The following is a 21,503-nucleotide window of genomic DNA, read 5'->3' as shown; positions in this document are numbered from 1 at the left end:
GCCTCTGGTAAGATTTAGAATTGCAGGCACAACCGTCTTCCTCCCTGCAGGGACTCCCTGTGTAGAACAGAAGAGCATTCAGTAAAGATTCATTTTTGTTGTTGTTGCTGTCATTTCTAGTTCAGTGGTTCTCAGACTGTGCACCTCCACCTCTGCAGGATGAGTCAAGTTTATGGTGGAGGCGGGACAGGGTGGAGTGGCCTTACTTTTATCTGTTCTATATACTGGGACACTGGCTATAATTTTATTTTTTCAAAAAGAGGTTAATTGCTTTAAAAGAAAAAACTGAAAGCCACCTGTCTAATCTGACCATCTCATTTTATAGATAGAGGAGCTGAAACCCAGAAGAGTTGAGCGACTATTGCAGGATCATATAGCAAATGAATGTCAGGACTGAGCCTGTGTCCAAATCTCCTGACACTGCTTTAGAGAGCCTGTTTCTCTTTCTGGGGCTCTCAGATATCCAAGGCAAAGAAAAATGAAATAATTCAGAGTGTCTAGATCCTAGGCCAAGTTTTCTGCCCAGTTCCAACTATACTGAGTGTTCAGCCATGATTATCCCCCCAGGATCAAGGTCACCATTACTGAGCCTCACTGATTGCAGATGGCGAGAGGTCAAGGTGTCAAGTCCATCTAGCAATGGCCCGTCATGGGGACAGCCACTTTTAAGGTGGATCTTCTCTTTTACCAATGACTGGTGAAGGTGGGAACAGCAGTTCCAGCAAAATGGTTTTGATTTTCTTTTCTTTTCTTTTTTTTTTTTTTTTTGAGATGGAGTCTCGCTTTGTCGTCCCGGCTGGAGTGCAGTGGCACAATCTCGGCTCACTGCAAGCTCCGCCTCCCGGGTTCACGCCATTCTCCTGCCTCGGCTTCCAGAGTAGCTGGGACTACAGGCACTGGCCACCACGCCCGGCTGATTTTTTTGTGTTGTTAGTAGAGACGGGGTTTCACTGTGTTAGCCAGGATGGTCTCAATCTCCTGACCTTGTGATCCGCCTGCCTTGGCCTCCCAAAGTGCTGGGATTACAGGCATGAGCCACCACGCCCGGCCGTGGTTCTGATTTTCTAACAGTCCTTGTCAGGGTTCTTAGCAGGCTCCTCAGAATGACAAATATGGTTCATTTCTTTGGGGACAACATTCAAAAATGTCAGATTCCTTCTACATCGATACCTTAAGGGAAAAAATACGTATGTAGAGTTTCAAGTTCAAAAAATCTTGTTTTGTTCCAATGAGCAGCTGCCTAATGATTTCAAGCAAAGGAGGGATCAGGAGGATTTTTTCTCTTTCTTTTATCATTCTTTCTTAAGTCTTTTTAAAGAAAAAAGTTAACTCAGTTAAAACAAAAATAACGTTTGGGTTTAGTTTGGGAGATTCGGGAAATTTGCATGGCTTATTTGGGAGTCTACTTAGTTGTCTCCTCCATCTGATTTGGAGAACAGAGTCCCAGAGAGCAACCGTCAAACTGCGTTTTCTGTATAACATGGCTCTGTCATTCATCCAGCACATACCGGCTGAGCACCTGCACTACAACGAGTACTAAGCCAGATGCCAGGAAATTCACCATCCACAGAAACCCAGCATTGCACCAGGGACCTTGAAAGCATCTGTGAAATATTTGCTCTAATATCCTAGAATGTCCCTATTTCAAATATCTGGCCCCAATGTTTGCAGATATGTTCTGATTTGGGTTGAAATAAGTGAAGGTAGTGGGTTAACTCAGCATCAGCTGTGAGTAAATATTTCCCTGTATCATAGTCACTGGGAATGCTCATCCACCTAGTTCAACCAACATCTACTGAGCTTCCCAAATACAGGCCGAATACAGCCCCAGATTCTGAAGATGGAAAATAAAGAAGAGAGAAGATAGATACATATAGAAAATAGAAGATAGATGACTGATAGACTAGATAGATGGATGGATGGATAGACAGACAGACAGATAGATAGACAGACAGATAGATAGAAAGATTAGCCTACAGACATACCACCCTTAACACACCGCTCTTGTCTGATCTTGGAAACTAAGCAGGGTCGGGCCTGGTTAGTATTTGGATGGGAGATGTAGACCGATATACAACAAGCACAGAGTTGAGAACATCATGAGGGTTCTCCCAGTAGACCGGGGTGTCTAATCTTTTGGCTTCCCTGGGCTACATTAGAAGAAGAAGAATTGTCTAGGGCCACACATAAAATAAACTAACACTAATGATAGCTGATGAGCTAAAAAAAAAAAAGTTGCAAAAAAAATCTCATAATGTTTTAAGACAGTTTACAGATTTGTGTTGGGCCACATTCAAAGCTGTCCTGGGCCACACATGGCCGGCGGGCCACAAGTTGGACAAGCTTGCAGTAGACATAATTTCTGCCCAGGGTGGGAAGGCAGAGGTGGCCAAGGGATTCCGGAGCACTGAAAGGGCCTGGAAGCCAGCCTGGGGAAACCAAGAAGGGATTCCTGGGGCAGAGGTGATGCTGGAGGGCAGTCCTGAAAGAGAAGTAATAGTTAGATGAGGAAGAGGACAAAAGGGGAACAGCGTGAACAAAAAACAAGGAAGCCATGAAACCCCTCGCAGGGAGGGAACCACAGACACTTGTATTTCTGGAGGTGGTGCCGAGCTGTCTAGTGATTTTGAGTTAGAGTGCCCTGGTCAGATATGCATTTTAGATCTTAACTGAGAATCCTTTTCACGGATGCCGTCAACCCCTCATTCCCATATGCACTATCTCTACGTTGCCTCTGTGAATACAGGAACATATATTTGAATTCAGTGCCACAGCAAGTAGCAGAAGATGCCAAGAATCCTGAACTGATTTGGGTGATCATGCTTCTATTGAGTCAGATGCTATCGTCTAGTGGTTCGGAACATAGATTCTGGTGCCAGACTGCCTGCTGAGTTTGAATAGTGGCTCGGCTGTTTATCAGCTTTGTAGCCACAGATGAGTTACTTAAACCTCTCTGTGCCTCCAGTTTCCTTATCTATACAACAGGGATAATATTGGTTCCTACCTGGAAAAACAGTTATGAGACTTTAGTAAGTTATTACGTATACATATAAAGTGATCAGAGCAGTACCTTGTAAGCATTCAGTAAATGTTAGCAAGTATTGCTTCCATTTTTATCTCTTACAACTTCCCTCCAAGAGCCCTCTGTCCCAGTGGCAGTCCCTTGATGGTCCTCTAAGTAGGCTGTCCATTTCTAAAACCAAGTCTTTGCCGGTGCCAGCTCCCTCCTAGGATGCCTTTTTTTGTGCCAGGTTGGGTGGCTCACACCTGTAATCCTAGCACTTTGGGAGGCCGAGGTAGATGGATTGCTTGAGCCCAGGAGTTCAAGACCAGCCTGGGCAACATGGCAAAAATCCTTCTCTACAAAAAAAAGAAAAAAAAAATGAGATTGAGAAAAACGCACCTGTGGTCCCAGCTACTTTGGGAGGCTGAGGTAGGAGGCTTGCTTGGACCTGGGAGGTCGAGGCTGCAGGGAGCTGTGATCACATCACTGCACTCCAGCCTAGGTGACAAAGCAAGACTCTGTCTCAAAATTTAAAAAAAGATTATTTTTCCTTTCCTTGCTCCCTCTGCCTCGGAGGTCAAAATCTGCTGTCCTCGGCGTACCACCTGAGGCCCAAAGGCCTTCCCAACAACTAGGATTCCCCTCTTTTCTTAATGCCTACGCACGTAGGACCAACCTTGTTTTGGGGGTACTTCATCCAATATTACCTTATTATTCCACAGAGAAATTTGGTCCTGGGGGAAGGGCAGGGGGAGACAGTGGAACATGGCCTATCCTAGGTTTCAGGAACCCCAGGTTAGAACCCCAGGGGCTCTGCCACTTAACTGTGTGACCCGGGACAAGTCACTGTTCCTCGGAGTCTGTTTGCTCCGCTCAAAAATCAGGATAATAAAATCAAAGCAGTCTGATGGAGGTGATGGGTGTGACAAGTCAGAAAATGAATATGAAGTATTTCGTAAAAATAATAACTGATGATTTAGTTATGACTATGAGTCTGGTGCTAAGTGCCGTACATGACGTCAAATCCCTTCATCTTTACAGCAGCCCTATGAGGCAATGTGCGGTTATTCCTCCCATTTGGTAAATGAGGAAACCAAGGTTCAGAGTGGAGAAGTAATTTGCCTAACGTCATGAGCCTGTATGTGAAGGAGCCGGGTGAGAACCCATGGGTTGTGGCTTCGGAATGAACACGCTTGACCACTATATAAATTCTCAAGTGCTGGCCAAATGACAGGCTTTGTGTTATTATCCATAACTACCCGATGAACTAATGGAATTAGAAGCCAAAGACATCCACGGCGGTCCCCGGGTCTTGCAAACCCTGTATGCGTCACGTTAATAGAAAATGACAGTAAGAAAACACAGTGAAGTGGCGATTTCCCTGGGTTTGGGGTTAATTCTTCTACCAGTAATACAATCAAACCTTGAGCCAGGCTGAGAAGTAAATAGGAAGGGAAAGGCTAAGGAGGATGATTGCCAAACAGCTGTTGAATGCCTACAGGGCCTTTGCTCTGCCCCTAGCTTCCTGCCCCAAACCTTTAAGCACCAAGCTGCAGATTCTCAGTCATCAAACCTTAGGGCAGGAAGGAACTTTGGAGATTCTCTGGCCCATCTCCCATTAGTTCACAGATGAAAGATCGAAGGCCCCAAAGGGAAGGTGTCTCGGCCAAGGTCAAGGGCTACTTCCCATTAGTTTAGGATTTATCAAACACTGCACCACTCACAAACATGTCTTGTTTGTGGATCAGCCACTGAGACCCTGAAGAGGAAGTAATTTGCCCAAGATCCCATACAAGTAAATATCAGAGCTGGGATTCTAAACGCCCAGGCAAGAGCTCTCACCGCCATAGCACACTGCCCAGTGGACAGCAGAAGCCCAGGTCCAGGTTGCCAGTTCAAGTCTCTTTTCCTAACATTAAGCTGCTGCCTGCAATGTCCTGGGAGATTCACCAACCCCTCCTGGCAGTGTATGCTGGAACACCCAGGGCTCCACACCCTGCCTGGTGATATGGGCGCAGGCCCACTCACATACTGCCAATACCCCTGCATTGAGCAATGAGGCCCCCAGTCCAGGAATTGCCACAAGACCTTTATCTGTCTAGGGCAGCCACTATCTTCCCCTTCAGCATCCCTCCGGCGCCTAGTAAACCCACAGATCCTGGCTCTTCACTCTCTGTCTTGTTTTTATAGGAAGTCAATCTAAGAGCCAAAGGCAAATTCCTCACCTCATAGACTATTTGTTCCCTGCCTTTGGTGACATAAAAGGGCTCTGGCTTGGGCAATGCAGGCTTTAGAGTGGAGGTGCTGGAGTCTGATCATGCTGGGTTCAAATAATACATCACCGCTTGTTGCTGTATTACTTTGGGCAAGTTACTCACCCTCTCTGGACCTCAATGTCTTCATCTGTAAAGCGGAAAATCTTAACAGTACCTACCTCATAGGATGGTGGGAGGATTAAATGAGATATTGAATGTAAAGCACTTTGATGCCTGGCACATAGTAGTTTCTCAATAAAAGGTGTAATTATTATACTACTGCAACCTTAGGAAAGACACAGCAATTCTAAGGTTGCTCATTTTCAAAAGCCCAGAGTTGTATCAGGTGGTTTCCTAAGGTCCTTCCTGCTTTAAAGATCTGTGAAATTACTTGACTCCAGGTGAATTTATTTTTCTTTCCTTCTTGTCCCTGAAGGAACTTTAGGATTTGCAGACTTCAGCCTTAAGCAGAGCCATACAGAGGATGTGCTCAATGATTTAAGAGCCTAAAGAGACAAGCGTTTGAAAATACGCACAAAAACCCAACATCTCAAACATCATCTGGCCTCTGCAGGTTTTTCTGGGTTTTTTTTTTTTTTTTGCTTGTTTCGTTTTGAGATGGAGTTTCGCTCTTGTCACCCAGGCTGGAGTGCAGTGGCATGATCTTGGCTCACTGCAACCTCTGCCTCCCAGGTTCAAGCAATTCTTCTGCCTCAGCCTCCCGAGTAGCTGGGATTACAGGCGCATGCCACCACGCCCAGTTAATTTTTGTATTTTTAGTAGAGACAGGGTTTCTCCATGTTGTCCAAGCTGGTCTCGGAACTCCTGACCTCAGGTGATCCGCCCGCCTCGGCCTCCCAAATTGCTGGGATTACAGGCGTGAGCCACCACACCCGGCCCTCTGCAGGTATTTTTAAACATCCCTCTGGCTGAGGTTAGCATTAGGGTTGGAATCCGAGTTGCTGTTAAATTCAGAGCCAAGGTCAGCTTTGAGAGGCTCAGCAGTGGGATGTGCTAGATATACTGGTGTTTTCAGGTCAAACACCTGTATTTGGCTTCTCATAGAACAGTAGGGAACACACCTGTAGCCTGTGAAGGGGCCAGGACAAAAGGATTTGATGTTTATCTTGACAGCAGTGAACACCCACTGAAGCATTTTAAGCAAGAGGAAGTCCTAAGGGGAAACTTGCCGCAGAGATGGAAATGGCCTATGTCTTGATTAAGTGTTGGTCACATAGCTGTGCACGTATATAAACATTTATTGATCTGTACTCTTTAAAAGTATTCATTTTACTGTTTGTAACGTGCACATCAGTTTTTTAAAAGTGTGCCCCAGCTAATAAGAGGCAGAGCCGAGATACAAATTCAGAAAGGACCAGATCAGGGCAGGCAAGTGAGACAGGGTTATGCAAATGTAGGGTTGGATCCTATCTTCATTAAAATATTAGTATTTTGCTCATCATGAATTTATTTACATTGATATTCATTTACTTAAATATCACAATAATAAGGCCAGGAACAGTGGGACATACGTGTAGCCTCAGCTATTTGGAAGGCTGAGGCAGGAGGATCACTTTAACCCAACCTGGGTAACATGGCAAGACCCCATCTCTAAAAATACATACATACGGCCGGGTGTGGTGGCTTAGGCCTGTAATCCCAGCACTCTGGGAGGCCGAGGGGGGCAGATCATGAGGTCAAGAGATGGAGATCATCTTGGCCAACATGGTGAAACCCCGTCTCTACTAAAAATACAAAAATTAGCTGGGCATGGTGGTGGGCGCCGGTAGTCCCAGCTACTTGGGAGGCTGAGGCAGGAGAATTGCTTGAACCCAGGAGGCCGAGGTTGCAGTGAGCCGAGATCGCGCCACCGTACTCTAGCCTGGCAACAGAGCGAGACTCCGTCTCAAAAAAAAAAAAAAATACATACCTATATAAAATAACATTAAAATATTTATTTTGATTTATGAGTTTGCAGGCACCTTCTCAGATTTTTATTTAATTTTCATCTCATTTCATTTTCATTTTTATTTAATTTTCAGGTCTCACCCTCCTTACCCTAGTCCTGGCCCTGATCATCCAGCTCTGTTCCCCTCCAGGGTACATGCTCTTAACCACCCCACTATGTGGCCTCTCCCAGTCAAGGGCACCATCAGGATTCAAAGAGCTTTGAAGGAGGTGACTTATACTGGGAGCTGGACGAGAAGGAAGATTGCAAAGAGGCTCCCAGGGGATGGCTCTGGCAAAATACAAAGAAAAAAGTTTATAAAGCGTTTAAATAAACCTGTGAAAGACAAGAAAGATAGTAAGAGAAAAAGGAGGTGTTTGGACCCAGGAAGCCAATCCCTGCCCACCAACCTCTCGTCCACACCGTGCCGCCTGCCTGAGAAAGCCTGGGCTGGCTGTCCCAGGGCTGACCCGGCCAGCCTGCTCTTGCAAGCCTCTTTCATCATTAGGTTCAACTGCTCAATGCAAACATTTTGATGAAGATTTTTGTATATAACAAGGATAGCAAATGATTCTTTGCATTACGTAGTGGTTAAAGTTTGCAAACACTTTCCCATATGTTACCCAGATGGCATCTGGGCCTCTCTCCTTGCCTCACAGATCTAGATGTGATTTTCTTGGACTTTCATTCATTTCACAATCTCCTAGTATATTTATGCAAATTCCTAGAGGATGGGGAAGCCTCTGTTCCTACCTCGAGGGCTGCTCTGTTGCTATCACTGACCCAGATCCCACGCTCAAATCCAAAGCGATTTCTGAGTGGGATGGATTTCACCAAATATTTGGGGAGCACACACGACAGGGTCAGAGCAGAAGGGGAGGAGCTTCACCTTTCACCTCTCAGGCTCCGAGCTCATAAACCTGCCCAGCTTGCCTGGAGAGCTCCAGGTTCTCTTTCTATCAGGCGGAGCAATTCTACCTGCCCAGGTCTAGGAGCCCTCCTGGGTCTAAGTCCCTCCCTAAAGAGCCCAACAGGGCACCTGGGAGACCACAGCCTCTTCCTTCAGAGAAAAGGCCCCCACTTTTCAGTTACAACGAGGGAAATTGAAAGCACACCACAGGAAGCATGACCAGCGGCCAGCACAGCTTACAGGGGGAACAGCCCGGCATCTTCCAGCTTGTAACTAAAGATTTGAGTGAGGTTTTTTTTTTTTTTAGACGAAGTCTCGCTCTTGTGCCCCAGGCTGGAGTGCGATGGCATGATCTCAGCTCACTGCAACCTCTGCCTCCTAGGTTCAAGCAGTTCTCCTGCCTCAGCCTCCGGAGTAGCTGGGATTATAGGCATGAGCCACCACGCCCGGCCAAATTTAAATGACTTTTAACCTCTCTGTCTCATTTTATTGTCAGAGGAATTGTGGGAGTCCCCTGAGAGCTCTTCTTCCAATCTCTCTGGCCCAGCCTCTTTGGGGCTGCACTTTGTCAGCACCAGCTTGGGAATGTAGAGAAATCCCCAGGCAGGAGCAGGTAATCCAGCTGCTGTTCCCACCAGTCCCAGATGTCCTTCCAGGGCCTCTTCCTCCTCATCTCCCCTCACTTCCAGTAATGGTCTTCAATATACCTTGTGAAAGAAGAATTCAAACTTGTAAATTAAATGAGGGCACTACATGGAAGCTTCTAGAAACACTAACATCAAGAGCAAGGGGAAAAGCAAAAGGACTCATTGGCCCCTCTCTGTGGAGCCTTTTGGAACTGTATCTTGCCTGCCCACACTCTTCTGGTAGCCGAGAGCAGGGCTGAGGGTGTGCAGGCTCCCTGGACCCCTGGTAAAAACATTCCTCTGGCCGGGTGCGGTGGCTCACACCTGTAATCCCCACACTTTGGGATTTGGCGGGCGGATCACGAGGTCAGGAGATCGAGACCATCCTAGCTAACACGGTGAAACCCCGTCTCTACTAAAAATACAAAAAATTAGCTGGGCGTGGTGGCATGTGCCTGTAGTCCCAGCTACTCGGGAGGCTGAGGCCGGAGAATCACTTGAACCCGGGAGGCGGAGCTTGCAGTGAGCCGAGATGGTGCCACTGCACTCCAGCCTGGGCGACAGAGTGAGACTCTGTCTCAAAACAAAAACAAAAACAAAAACAAACAAAAAAAATGCTCCTCTGTGTTTGTACAGGTGGAGCTTCTTCAAGGAGGGATGGGTGTGTACACAAGCCTGCATATGTGTGTGTGTGTGTTCAGTCTGGATCTTTCTATAAGTATGGGGGTCTTGGAGTTTCCGAGCATGTCTCTGTGTGTGTCTGGGTGTCTGGATGTCTATGCATGAAAGCTTCATACTCCTACATGTGTGTATGATTGCACTTGCCCATCCATGTGTGTGGATGTCCCTCTGTGGTTAGGTTTGGGAGGTGTCTCTGTGTATCAAAGTCTCAGCTTCTGGGTGTGTCCCTGCCCAGGTAGATGTGTGTCTGCATCCCTGGGTGCCAGAGAAAGATGGAAGTACAGATGTGTGGTGTGACCTGCCGTGAGTGTGCGTCAGGGTGTGTAGGTGTGCATAAGTGTAGAGGGACAGCAGAGCATTAGGGCTCACAGAAGCTGCAGCATACGTACACACTATCTTTGCAAAGCAAGTCATCTGTTTTCCTGGTTTTGTTTCTTTCCTCCCCATGGACTCTGGCCCCTCCTTGAAAACAAAGGGAGCTTAAAAAACGCAGCCCTTCCTGTGTTCCCAAATGTTCAGAATGCTGTGGTGCACTTGAACCGTGCCAGCTCGGATGCCCAGCCCTGCCGCTGTTGCAGGAAGTTACCCGCCCGCCGCACTGCCACCCCCCACTTACACAACGACCCCGGGAGGGTGGGTGGGAGGGAAGGAGGAACCGCACAGCTCGCTACCCCTCGACGCCCCAGCCAGTGGCAGGCCCTCCATGGGAACTGAGACTCTGTGTGGGGGCATAAGAGCATCATCTGGGGGCTTCCTCCAAAGCTGGGGGTGCAGGGAGACAACACCTTTACATGGAAATTATTGCCAACCAACCAGGTGTCCAGGGACCTCATTTTCCATTTTACGAGGTCAGTTCTAGGTAGAAGTCAACATTTTCATCGTTTCAACACACATTCACCAAATACCTACTACATGATAGACGCTGTGGAAGATAAAACGACAGCTTTGTCACCCTAGGATTGGTGCCCGCACCTCCACACTCGGGGCACCCAGTGTCCTCCATAACATAAGGGGGTTAAACTGGGTAGCACCAAAGCCTCTTCCACATCAGAAATTCTGTGATTCTTTTGTGGCAAGTTCATGAGTCTGTGCTCCCACACTTCTCCCTGCTCCACCATTCCCCGGTTGGGGCAGGTCAACAGAGTCCCCATCTTTCTCAGCTCTGCCCAAGTGCTCATTCCTTTCCCGCCTTCCTTCCTCCCCTCTGAAAAACCTACTCTCGGTCCTTGTTTACTCAAAGCTGTAAATTCCTAATGAACTCTTCTCTCTTTGTCTACACTTGAACAGGTTCCCTGCCTTACTCTAACCCCACTTTCTACCAGGACGATCAGAGCCCTCCCAGAAATGACCGCAGCCCATCTTTGCCACCTTAGGTCCCACATCATCCCTAACATCTCAGCACACATTGTTGTCAGGTTTGGGAGGTGTACAGAAGTCTCAGCTTCTGAGTGTGCCCCTGCCCAGAGAGATGCGTGTGTGTCCCTGGGTGCAGAGGAGGGTGGCAGGAAAGATGTGTGGTGTGTCCTGCCTGTGAGTGCTGGCCAAGCTGTGTTGCACAAGAGGCACCCTCAGCACAGTCTCCTCCCAAGCCCAGCCTCTTCTCAAGCCATTCCCTCTGCCTACTGGGAACACCCTTTCCTCCCTCTACCCCCAACCATTTCCTTTCACGGTCATTTCAAGGTCCATCTCAAACACCTCCTCCTTCCTTAAGCTTTTCCTGATTCCTCCTTCCTTAAGCCTTTCCTGATTCCTCCTTCCCCACCCAGTAGACGTGAGCTCTGTCTGATTTGAAACCTTTCCTGTGATGCAGAATATTTGGCCTTGACTTACGGTTATCGATATCTTTATCTGTTGTGCACAAGAAGACTTAGATCCTTAAGACTAAGCATCCAAAAATGTGTCTTGCTCTTGCTTGAATCCTCACATGGCGTCAACATTGCAGGTGCTCAGTAAGCATCTGCACAACTCAGTCCAAAGCTCAGCCATGGAATGTCAGGAGTTGGGTAGCCTGGTTGGAGATCATGGCACTGTCAGGGGAAGAGGTGGGAAGAGCAGAAGGAAGGAGTCTTGGAAGTCACAGCCAGGTGGTCAACCAATGACTGTCCCTGTGATAAGCCTGAGACCCCAAACATCTCCCTTATCCAAAATGGCCTGAATGTGTGAAGAAAGAAGAAGGATGCTAAAGTGGTCTATTTATTCCGTCTGGACCACAACTTTTCCAAGAAACAAAAAGCAAGGCCGTGTCATGTACTGAGATAACTCTGGGCTGGGGATGGCAAACTTGGGTGCCTTCAGGCCAGCAAAGGACCAAAGCCAGCTGGGAGAAAGGGGTGGTTGGTGACAAACTAGAGCATCTGTCCCATTTATAGGGAGCTGGTCTTGCCTGCAGAAACGTGGCACATGGATGGCTGGATCTAACCATTGTTCCAAAAAGCCCCATATCCACAGTTTTGTATGAAATCCCTCACTTTCTAAGTGTGGGCAATCTATTCCATTAGAAAGAAAAATCAACAACACTGGGTGGTCCCAGTGAAATCCGTCCACATTCAGCCTGTGGGCTGCCAGACTGAGGTTCCTACCTAGGTGCATGCCAGGTTATGGAGTGACATGACTGTGACGGGCTCCCTGCTGAAGCTAATTCTAAAATCCACCCAACTAGAGAAAGTGCTGGGTATGCCAATAAACCAACCCTGGGCATAGAAAGGCAGCGGGCAAGTGATAGGAGAAGGTTTAGAATGTCTTCATGGTCTCTGAAGCCAGGATCTTTGTGTGCCTTGAGAATCATGACCTAGAGGGTAGGCAGAAGGCTTAGGTCAGTCACCAGCTTATTTGACTTGAGCAAGTGACATCCTCTTTCTGAGCTGCAGAGTCTCCTTGTACAATTAGCGGGCAGGACTAGAATACCCCTGAGATGCCTTTCAGCCTCTGGCAAGGAAATGCTAACCGGTGACTGTGCAAGGAATGGGTCCCACCGTGGCAGGAGAGAATTCCTGTTGGCAGGGCCCAGACCTGGGAACTTTAGATGTGGACCTTGCCTCTTTCCACATGGCAGTGCCTTCCAGCAGGTGCCCAGCGACCAAAGGCCCAGCCCAAGTTCTCACAGCTCCACTCCGATCCTGGAGTCATCGCCGAAATCTTTATCCATGGGTGTGGTGCAGGGCACCAACAATCAGAGTACTGTTGGACAGGTCCCTACAGGTGTTAGATGGTAGGAGTTATGGAGAGGTGGCCCAGGGGAGAAGCCAGTACAGCTAAGGTGGCAGGAAGTCTTCCCGGTAAATGACTACCAATGAGATGAAAGTATTTCAATAGCCTGACAATGGGTATGACCGGGCAGGTGTGTATCCACCGACCATCAGTTCAGCCCTCCTCAGAATGCTGCTCATCCTGGGGACTGCAAGGCAGACCCAGATGCTGGCAACAGGTTTGAAAGTGACCCCCCACCCAGCCTCTGGGGACTTCCCCAGCAAGCCCAATTCACTCCAGAGCCCCCAACCCAGGCCTCCCTGGGCATTGGCAGAGAACAGGCACCGTTCCAAACCCTGACTTCATGCTGACCACCAAATCCCCAAGCCAGGGAGGGAGCGATGATGTCACTGTCCCCATGTTTCAGAAAAGCAATAACCGGACTCGGAAGAGGATCAGTTTTCAAGGCAGAAGTCCAAACAGTTGATCTTGGCAAGGGCCTCCGAGGATTGCCTCATAGAAGGAGAGGGCTGGCATGCTTGTGAGCATCGTTTGTTATGAGCTGGGAGGCAGCGGTGTCCTTGGACTCAGGAGAACCTTGGGGACCCTGTCAAGATGGAGAATGTCGAATCTGAAACAAATGGGCATTGGTGTCCTCGATTCCCGTCAGAACCCTCTTTTATGGTGGGAGGGGACACCTCGGCACTCACAGAGAAGCGTTTTTCCGACAGAGTTCAGCCACCCCACCCTGGACCCAAGTCCCCTCTTATTATTAGAAAAATGCCATCAGTTTCCTCAATTTGAATAAGTCCTATGAAGATGGAGTTTTGTTCACCACTGTATCCACAACATCTCATACAGAGTTAAAGAAATCAATAAATATTGGCTGAATGAATGGCAAGGAGAGGAATGGAGTGGGAAGTGGCACGTCTGGATTCCAGGGATCCAGGAGCATATCCAGGTTTGCCAGCTAGGCCTGCAGGCCAGGCAGGGCAGGCAGGTTGGGGTTATGGGAAGACCGCCATTGATTGCTGGAAGTGCACAATACATATTTTCAAAAACTTGGCCAGGCATAGTGGCTCATACCTGTAATCCCAGTGCTTTGGGAGGCCGAGATGGGAGGATCACTTGAGCTCAGGGGTTCAAGGCCAGCCTGAGCAACATAATGAGACCCCATCACTACAAAAAATAAAACATAAAATAGTAGCCAGCTGTGATGGCATGCATCTGTAGTCCCTTGGCCTACTACGGAGACCAAGGCAGGAGGATCACTTGAGCCCAGGAGTTTAAGACTGAAGTGAGTAATGATCATGCCCCAGCTGTCCAGCCTGAACAACAGAGTGAGATCTTGTCTCCATTGAAAAAAAAACTATGACAAAAAAAAAAGCAAAAACTATCCTTTGACAATCTGTGACAACTTTCTCTCCCTGGGGTTCACAATCTCACTTTCATGCTCCTTCCATTAAAGTCTGATCCCTTTTTTAAATAGCTGTTTGGCTAATCTGTTGTGGTAGACACTGTTGAAAAGGCCCCACTTTCGGAAAATGTGTTCAGGAGGAACAAGTCTCCCTCGCCCCTCCCTCCCCTAAACTACACTTCTGCTGTGCTCTCAAATGAGCTCAGTCACATCTCTGTCCCTGAGCATGTCATGTCCCCTCCCTGGGCTTCAGTTTCCCCTTCTACATAAAACACAAGCTAAACTAGAAACATCCTGTGTCCTTAACTTGTAGGAAGAGTGTCTCAGCCCCCTTTAAGAAAACGAAGCTTGAAGCCTCTCCCTGCAAAAATCCAATTCCTCACTAGTACAGAGAAACTTTTTTTTTTTTTTTTTTTTGCATCCGATTTCTGGAGATCCACAGCCCCTTTGCAGCTCAACAAGGGAACCCAGGGTCAGAGTCTTTTGGACTTGCTAATCTGGAAGCCCCTCCCAGCTCTGACTTTCTGGAATGTTAACCGAAGTGTGGCTGTGAGAAAACACATTCCAGCTGCTCTCCTCTGAGGCCAGCGCTGGGCCTCCCCCTCAGCTGCCCCTCAGGAAGGAAGCAGCCCTGGGCTTCACTAATGGCCCCAAATTCAGCCCCCAGTTTCCTCAAGACCCAGGTCCCAAATCAATAAAGGTAGGCTCCATGGAAATGAGGCAGGATGCAGAAGGAAATCCAGGCAGCTCGACCTCAAAGGAATTTCCTTTTCCTTGCCTCTCCTTCCAGTTCTGTCTTTCAAGAGTTTGATAGAGGTGGGAACGGGGATTTGAGAATTTTCTTTTCAACTGAGGCCCAGAGGAGGAGGTGGAGATGGGCCACAAGATAGAGAGGTCAGGGTTGGGGAGACAGGGCAGCGGACAGTGATGAATGTGGGTGGGGCCTTTGTGCATTCTCCAGGACAAAGTGGACTTTTCCAGTCGGCTGGTTTTCGAAAGCTATTTACGAAGCTGGACTAATCCAGCCCAGCTGTGCGGACTGTAAGCAAACAGGGCCTTTTGTGGGGTTCAGATTCCCCACCCCTAGCCTGTACTTACAGAGCTCACTCCACCCTTCCTGTAGGGGAGGAAATGAGGTGCCCAGGTCAAGCAGAAGAGTTATATCAGGAGTTATACCTATCTGTCACCATCCTCAGCCCCACCTCTGGGGACCCAGCAAGGCTCACCTGGGCATTGGGATGGACACATAGATCTGAGTCAGGAGGCCTGCTCTTCCACTTCTTAGCTGGGTGAACGTGAGTGAGTCTCTTAATTTCTCTGAGCCTCAGTTTTCCCCTCTGTGAAATGGCCATATTACCTAACTTCGAAATGCTGCAGGCAGCGCTTAACAGAGGAGATTCCATAATGTCTTTCTCCCTCTCTCTGAAATAGAGATTAGCACATAGGGAGACCTTGGGTGAGGTAGGTAAAAGGCACCCCCTGTAAGGGAAATTTGGGAAAGGCAGCACTCGCTTCAGGCCGAGAAGCAGTTCCCAGCACCAGGTGCATTGCTTGGCAAGATCTGCCTTTTCTCACCCCCAAGCCCAGGGCTCCTGTGCAGACCAGCACCCACACAGCACATGTAAACAGCAGTCACAAAATCCAAGCTGTCCTGCCCACCCTCCATCTGAGATGGTTTTTCTTTTAGAGCCCCAGTCTTTCAGTGAATCATTATCCCCTCTAAAATGCCTAATAAGGGGTAAAATTGGAGCATACGTTCCTGGTTCATTCCTGAAGTCACTGGGGTGATGAGATCATGAAGTCACAGGTCAGCGAGGCCCCTAAAATGGAAAAAAAAAAAAAAAAGGCAAAAGTTACCAGGACCAGCTTTACCTGGCCCTCAGCGTGGTTCTAGCCTGCCTGACCCTCCTAAAGCTGCAGTACCATCATTTAACACAAGTGGCCCAGCAAAGGGAGACTTCCCTGACTGGAGCTGCTCTCCTGGTGAGCCCAAGGGAGCATGGAGGGATCTGGTGTAAATGTCTTACATGGTCATGTGCTCTTGCTCCAGAACCCTTCTGCATTAGCAGTCCACACCAGGAGTCTCTAGCTGTTGACCAACTTCAGCCATCAAAAGTGTTTTGTTGGTCAGGTGCGGTGGCTCACACCTGTAATCCCAACACTTTGGGAGACCGAGGTGGGTGGATCATGAGGTCAGGAGTTCGAGACCAGCCTGGCCAATATGGTGAAACCCTGTCTCTACTAAAAATACAAAACTTAGCTGGACTTGGTGGCGCGTGCCTGTAGTCCCAGCTACTCGGGAGGCTGAGGCAGAAGAATCCCTTGAACCCGGGAGGCGGAGGTTGCAGTGAGCCGAGATAGTGCCATTGCACTCCATCCTGGGCAACAGAGTGAGATTCCGTTTAAAAAAAAAAAAGAGTGATTTGGGTTGTGAAGCTTCTTAAAACAATTTGAACTCAAGTTTGAAAATTAGGTAAGTTCATATCCAAAAATGCAGGCTTCCGGGTTCTCTTGAAAATTGAGAAGATCTGGCAATTTGGGGCCCTCTTTCTTTTAAGACAACCATTGACCCACTGAAACCAGGTATATGCTCCTTATTTTGCCCCAGTCCCCACCACTCCAGGTTGTTCCCCCATACTGAGGCTGCTGGTTGGTTGGCCTTATCGTTAGGAGAAAAGAAAATATGTCTTATTTACCTTGTCTATACCAAAAGTGAAGAAACAAAAGGCAAACTGAGAGGATTCAAGGAAAATGGAAGCCACAAGATTTCCCTGTGGAAGTAGAGAAATATGCCTTTCGTGATTCATATATGTATTAAAAAAAAAGTTTTTGGAGTACACTGGCTCTCTTCACTCAAAGCCCCTGAAGGCATTCACTTTTGACACCATATTCTAAACCTTTCTTTTGTAAAGAACCATGGCATTTTCAAGCTAGAGGCAATCTTAGAAGTTTGAAATTTTTTCCAACCAGATTTAAGATCTTTAAGGTTTATGTATCGGTTAGCTATTGGTGTGTAACAAACCACCCAAAAACTCAATGGCTTAAAATAATAAGAATGTATTATTGCTCACAAATCTATGAGTCAGCTAAGTGGCACTTCTAGTCTCAGCTGGTCTTATTCATCCATTGGTGGTCAGTTGTGGTCATGTCGGTAGCTCTGATCTTGGCTGGGTTCTCTCCTGTGTTTGGAGGTCAGCTGGCTGTAAGCCAGTCCTGGCTGTTCTCATCTGAGATGAGTAGGCACTCTTCCACGTATTCTCTCATCTTCTAGCCAACTAACCCAGGCTAGTTCACAAAATGATTACGGGGTCCCAGAGAGAGCTGAAACATGCAATGTCTCTGGGGACCTAGGCAGAACTGGGACACTTCTGCTGCACTGCCTTGGCCAAAGAAAGTCTCAAGGCCAGCCCAGATTCAAAGGGTGGGAAAACAGATGCCTTCTCTTGGTGGAAGGAACTGCATAGTCATGTTGTAAAGGTCATGGACACAGGAAAGTCAGTAATTGATACTATCAGTGCAATCAACCTAACATGAGTTGGGACTGTGTCTGATGCTATGGGAGCCTCTATTTTCCAAACCAAAATTTGAGATTTAAGGGCTCATAGTGTAACACAGTATTTCAAATGGGTTTGTCCTAGACCCTCCAGAATGAATGTTCACATTTATTCCTCCACATCACTCTAGCACAGTCTGACCCAGTGACCTCCACTGTTGATTATCTGACCCAATTCAAAACCTGGTATTTCAGAACAGGGGTGGAACTCCTATGTACATTTTGGGATCAAAGGCTGGTATTTATTAGCAGGCTATGAACTTTATAGGATTTCAGGTCTATGTGCCATTTAAATTAATCACTTTTATTTTACAAATGAATAAATTAAAATCCAGTGGTAAAGCGACTTAGCCACGATCATATGGTTAGGTAGGCCAGTGCTGTCGGACCTCAACGTGTTCATGAATCACCTAAGCATGCTGTGAAAATGCAGAATCTGAGCAGCCGGTCTGGGGTGGGGCCTGAGAGTCTGCATTTCTAACAAGAGCCCAGGTGATGCTGATGCTGCTGGCCCTGCAACCAAATGCTCAATATTAAGGCTCTGGACCTCACAGATTCTATAGAGAGGAGGTCACAGGTAGAAACACCTGCATTTAGAGTCCTCTCTATTATTTTGCAGTCCTTCAGCTTAGACCCATTTTACCAGTGGGTAAACTGAGCTTCACAAAGAAAGTGTTGGCATTGGATCTACTCCCTGAGGTTTTACAGAAGGGGGCCCAAGGTCCTCCATCACCAGGCAACTCCTAGAGAGCTGAGCTTAAGGAGCTGTGGCCCACTTTGAACTTTCAGCTGTTCAAGGTAGGGGCTTCCTTTCCTGCTGAGACCTTGGGCTGTGGGCCATCTTTTCACTTGTTGCGGACTCAGCTCATGATGTTGTCCCAGGGGTCTCTAAGTCCCAGGGCCTGAGATTGTCTGGTTAGTGATTTAGGAGCTTGGCAGCCTCTCTTGTTCTATTATGCAGCCTCTGAACATTCCGTCCAAAGGCCTTCTGGCACGCCACACATTTTCAGAATGAAAGGGGGGAAAATGAACATTGCCCTTGCTCATTTGCCTAATTTAAAAGCATCTAGAAGCTTTTTTTAGAAGGGGGAAAGAAACACCATCCATCTGAAATGGAGGAAGCACCTCATCAAGGAGCCAAGAGAGATGTGGAGACATAAGTTTCGAGGGCTGACACATTCATAGACAAACCTTGTGCCCGGTTTGTTTGTTCCCATCCACTTTCAGCTTGGAAACCACTGCCTTTTTGGAAGCTCTCGTGCTGGGAGGAAATTGCTTTTTCCTAAGGGGAGACCTGAACCCTCCTCGCCCCACTCAGGCATCAGTTTCCTACAATTTCACACGAGCTCAGTTTGGCTCCCGAACATTTATTGAGGGGCTACTCTACGACTCTGTGTCAGGCACTGTGCTGGATCTGTCCGTTCGATCATCAAAGATTTAGTGGTTAGGGAGAGCCCTGTGCTATACATTTCCGTATTCACTTAACAGTGGTTTATTACCAGGCGTCATGCCAGGCTCCGGGGATAAGAAGGGACTGAGATAGGCGTGATGTGGCTACACCTAGTCTAGCCAGAGAGAGAGTCACTAAGTGATCCTTATTGATGTATTGCAATAAGGAATTACTTATTGTGATAAGTAATCACAATAGAGTGCCTACTACTAAGGCAGATAGAAGAGGTCTTGCTCCAGAAACAGCATAGAGGAGAAGGCAGGTCGCCCACCTAGACTCGCAGCTGACAAGCTCTCCTCAAGCCTCGGGCAGGGTCCTCTCCCTGACCCCAACCCCTCCTCTCCCTAACCCTGCCTCCCTCACACACACCCCTTCCATCTTCCAGGCACCAGCCAGAGAAGAGTTCTTTCTTAAATGAGAATCTAATGGTGTCATTCCCCTACTAAAAATTCTTTACTGGGCTTCCCACTATTTGCAGGATTAAGTCCAAACTTCTCAGAATAGTTTACGAGGCTTTTTACAATTTGGCTCCAAATCTACCTTTCAGCCCTGGGTCCCACCCCGCTTCCCCATCATTCATCCTTCTCTCTCCCTATACTGAATATCCTGAGCTCCACGGGATGACTCAGAACAAGGGGCTCTCTCTCTTTAAAAAAAAAAAAAGAAAAAAAAAGATGTGTCATGGAAATGTTCAAATGTAAGCAAATGCAGAGTCAGTGATGTGAGGCGCCTCCGTATTCCCATTGCCCAGTTCCAGGACGTGCCCAATCTCATCACCTCCACGTCCCCACCCATCCCCGCTCCAAACCCCACACTGGATTATTTTAAAGCCAATCCAAGACACCATGTCCTTTCATCTGAAAATACTTCAGCATGTATTTCTGACAGATGAGGAGGGTCCTTCTTTTTTTGTTGAGGCTCCAAGTTTGTTGGGGGCAGAATAACTGAATTTGTGGTACAGCTTTAATGTGCACGTTTAACAAGCCAATGTTTTTAACACACACCCACATCCATACACACACGGCGTAGTGATTGTATGTCTGCCCTCATTTGGAGAGACCATTGAGGAATCTCTATTTGAGGCCCTTCTTAAACGTGAAGCCTTGGCCAGCCCTTCCCTCCCGCAGCGCCTTCCATTGACCTTCCATCCCTGTGGTTGGCCCTGTTTCCTGAATCCTCCAACCACTTTCACACCTTTGGGCCTTGTGTCCTTTGTGGCCACTTCTGCCTGGAACGTCCTTTCCTCTGTTGGGCACACTCCTGCATGACCAGCAAAGCCCAGTGCAAATTTCCCCTATGCACTGTCCATGATACCTCTTCCAACAACCTCCTGTCCTCCACAGGTCATCACTCACTCTTCTTTGCTTCTATAGCATTTTTTCTTCGTAATTCTCCTGAATGTTGATATTTCTGAGTTGAAATCATTTGCTTACAGATCTGCTGCCCCCACCAGCCTGGGAACCCTTCGAGGGTAGGGTCTGGGTCCTTTCTGTGTCCCCCAGAGAGGCGATCTGGTCCCCAAGCATGGATTCTGGCTTCAGCCTTGCCTGGACAAGCTATTGAATTGAGTCTCAGTGGTCTTGTTTGTGAACTAGGGATGCTATTATACTCAGCACTATGACAGGCCTCTCGTGTGGATTCAGTGCCCTGTGTCTGTGCGGCTACTGTGGCCCGACTGCCACAAGGAGACACTGAACAATTGTGACCTTCATCACCAGGTGTCAGCAATGACTCCTCCCTCAAAGGGGCCCCTCAGCCAGAGACATGTCCGTCCTTAGCATAAGGCCCTAGTCGTGTTTGGGCCCTGGTCGTTTTCCCCTCTGTCAGAGACCCTGGAAGTTTCCTGGCTGGTCCTGGGCCACTGAGCCTGCAGTAAAGGACCATGGACCAGCTCGCCACCTCGAGGCTCCTGCTGCCCCTCACCTCCTGCCCCCCACCTCCTGCCCCCATGCAGGAGAGCAGGCCCTGCGAACTCTGCACCCTTCCCTGGGGGCTTCTACACGGAAACTCAGTGCTGTCACTCCGGCTCCTGGCTGGGTCCAGGGGAATGCCCCTCTCTCCTCGCAGCTTGCAGGGAACTCCTGGCATCCTGCATTCCCTGGGAACTTCAGGTGTCTAGGAAGGCTCCGTCTGCCAGGCCAGTTGTGACCTAGGGAGGATCTTGCAGCTTGGCTTTCAGCCAATCCATTCCCACACGTTCACTCACAGAAGTTAGGGAGACTCCGCCCCCATTGCATTCCCTCCACTTTGCAGCTGAGAAGCTGTCCCTGTCGTACCTGGATGCCCTTTCTCCCAGGAAGACCTCCTCTGGCCCAGCCGTGCTGTGAACGAGCCCCAAAACAGCCCTCCTCTTCCCAAATCTCTACTCCCTGCAGACAGGTGGGAAAAAGCGGCCTGTGTTATTCTCTCTGAGCACTGCTGTGATGTTTCACACACTAGGGTGGGTTTAAAACTGCTTCATGGCCAGCCTCTT

At 48.1% G+C, this 21,503-nt stretch overlaps 1 protein-coding gene, 1 long non-coding RNA gene and 1 pseudogene across 19 annotated transcripts in view, besides 1 other annotated feature; 2 read left to right on the top strand and 1 right to left on the bottom strand.

The window, feature by feature from the left end:
• The window catches only part of SYN3 (synapsin III), a 550,562-nt gene that overhangs the window by 421,212 nt on the left and 107,847 nt on the right, over window positions 1-21,503 (top strand). The window lies entirely within an intron of this gene.
• RNA5SP497 (RNA, 5S ribosomal pseudogene 497) lies at window positions 1,972-2,068 on the top strand (annotated as a pseudogene).
• On the bottom strand, window positions 7,251-15,642 carry LOC107985545 (uncharacterized). The gene is made up of 3 exons (XR_001755504.2): window positions 15,254-15,642; window positions 11,255-13,217; window positions 7,251-8,824 (listed from the first exon to the last, which is right to left on the bottom strand). It is a non-coding gene; the product is annotated as an uncharacterized LOC107985545 (long non-coding RNA).
• Window positions 20,536-21,035: an enhancer, noted in NCBI's record as "H3K4me1 hESC enhancer chr22:33012121-33012620 (GRCh37/hg19 assembly coordinates)". NCBI's record gives its function as "activates a minimal SCP1, AML or CMV promoter by ChIP-STARR-seq in naive H9 embryonic stem cells {active_cell/tissue: H9 hESC(naive)}" and the evidence as "EXISTENCE:reporter gene assay evidence [ECO:0000049][PMID:30033119]".

This window comes from Homo sapiens, chromosome 22 (assembly GCF_000001405.40).
Source record: "Homo sapiens chromosome 22, GRCh38.p14 Primary Assembly".
NCBI classification, from domain to species: Eukaryota; Metazoa; Chordata; class Mammalia; order Primates; family Hominidae; genus Homo; species Homo sapiens.
The sequence above is the reverse complement of the archived record's forward strand: the minus strand, read 5'-3'. Positions and strand labels throughout refer to the sequence as shown.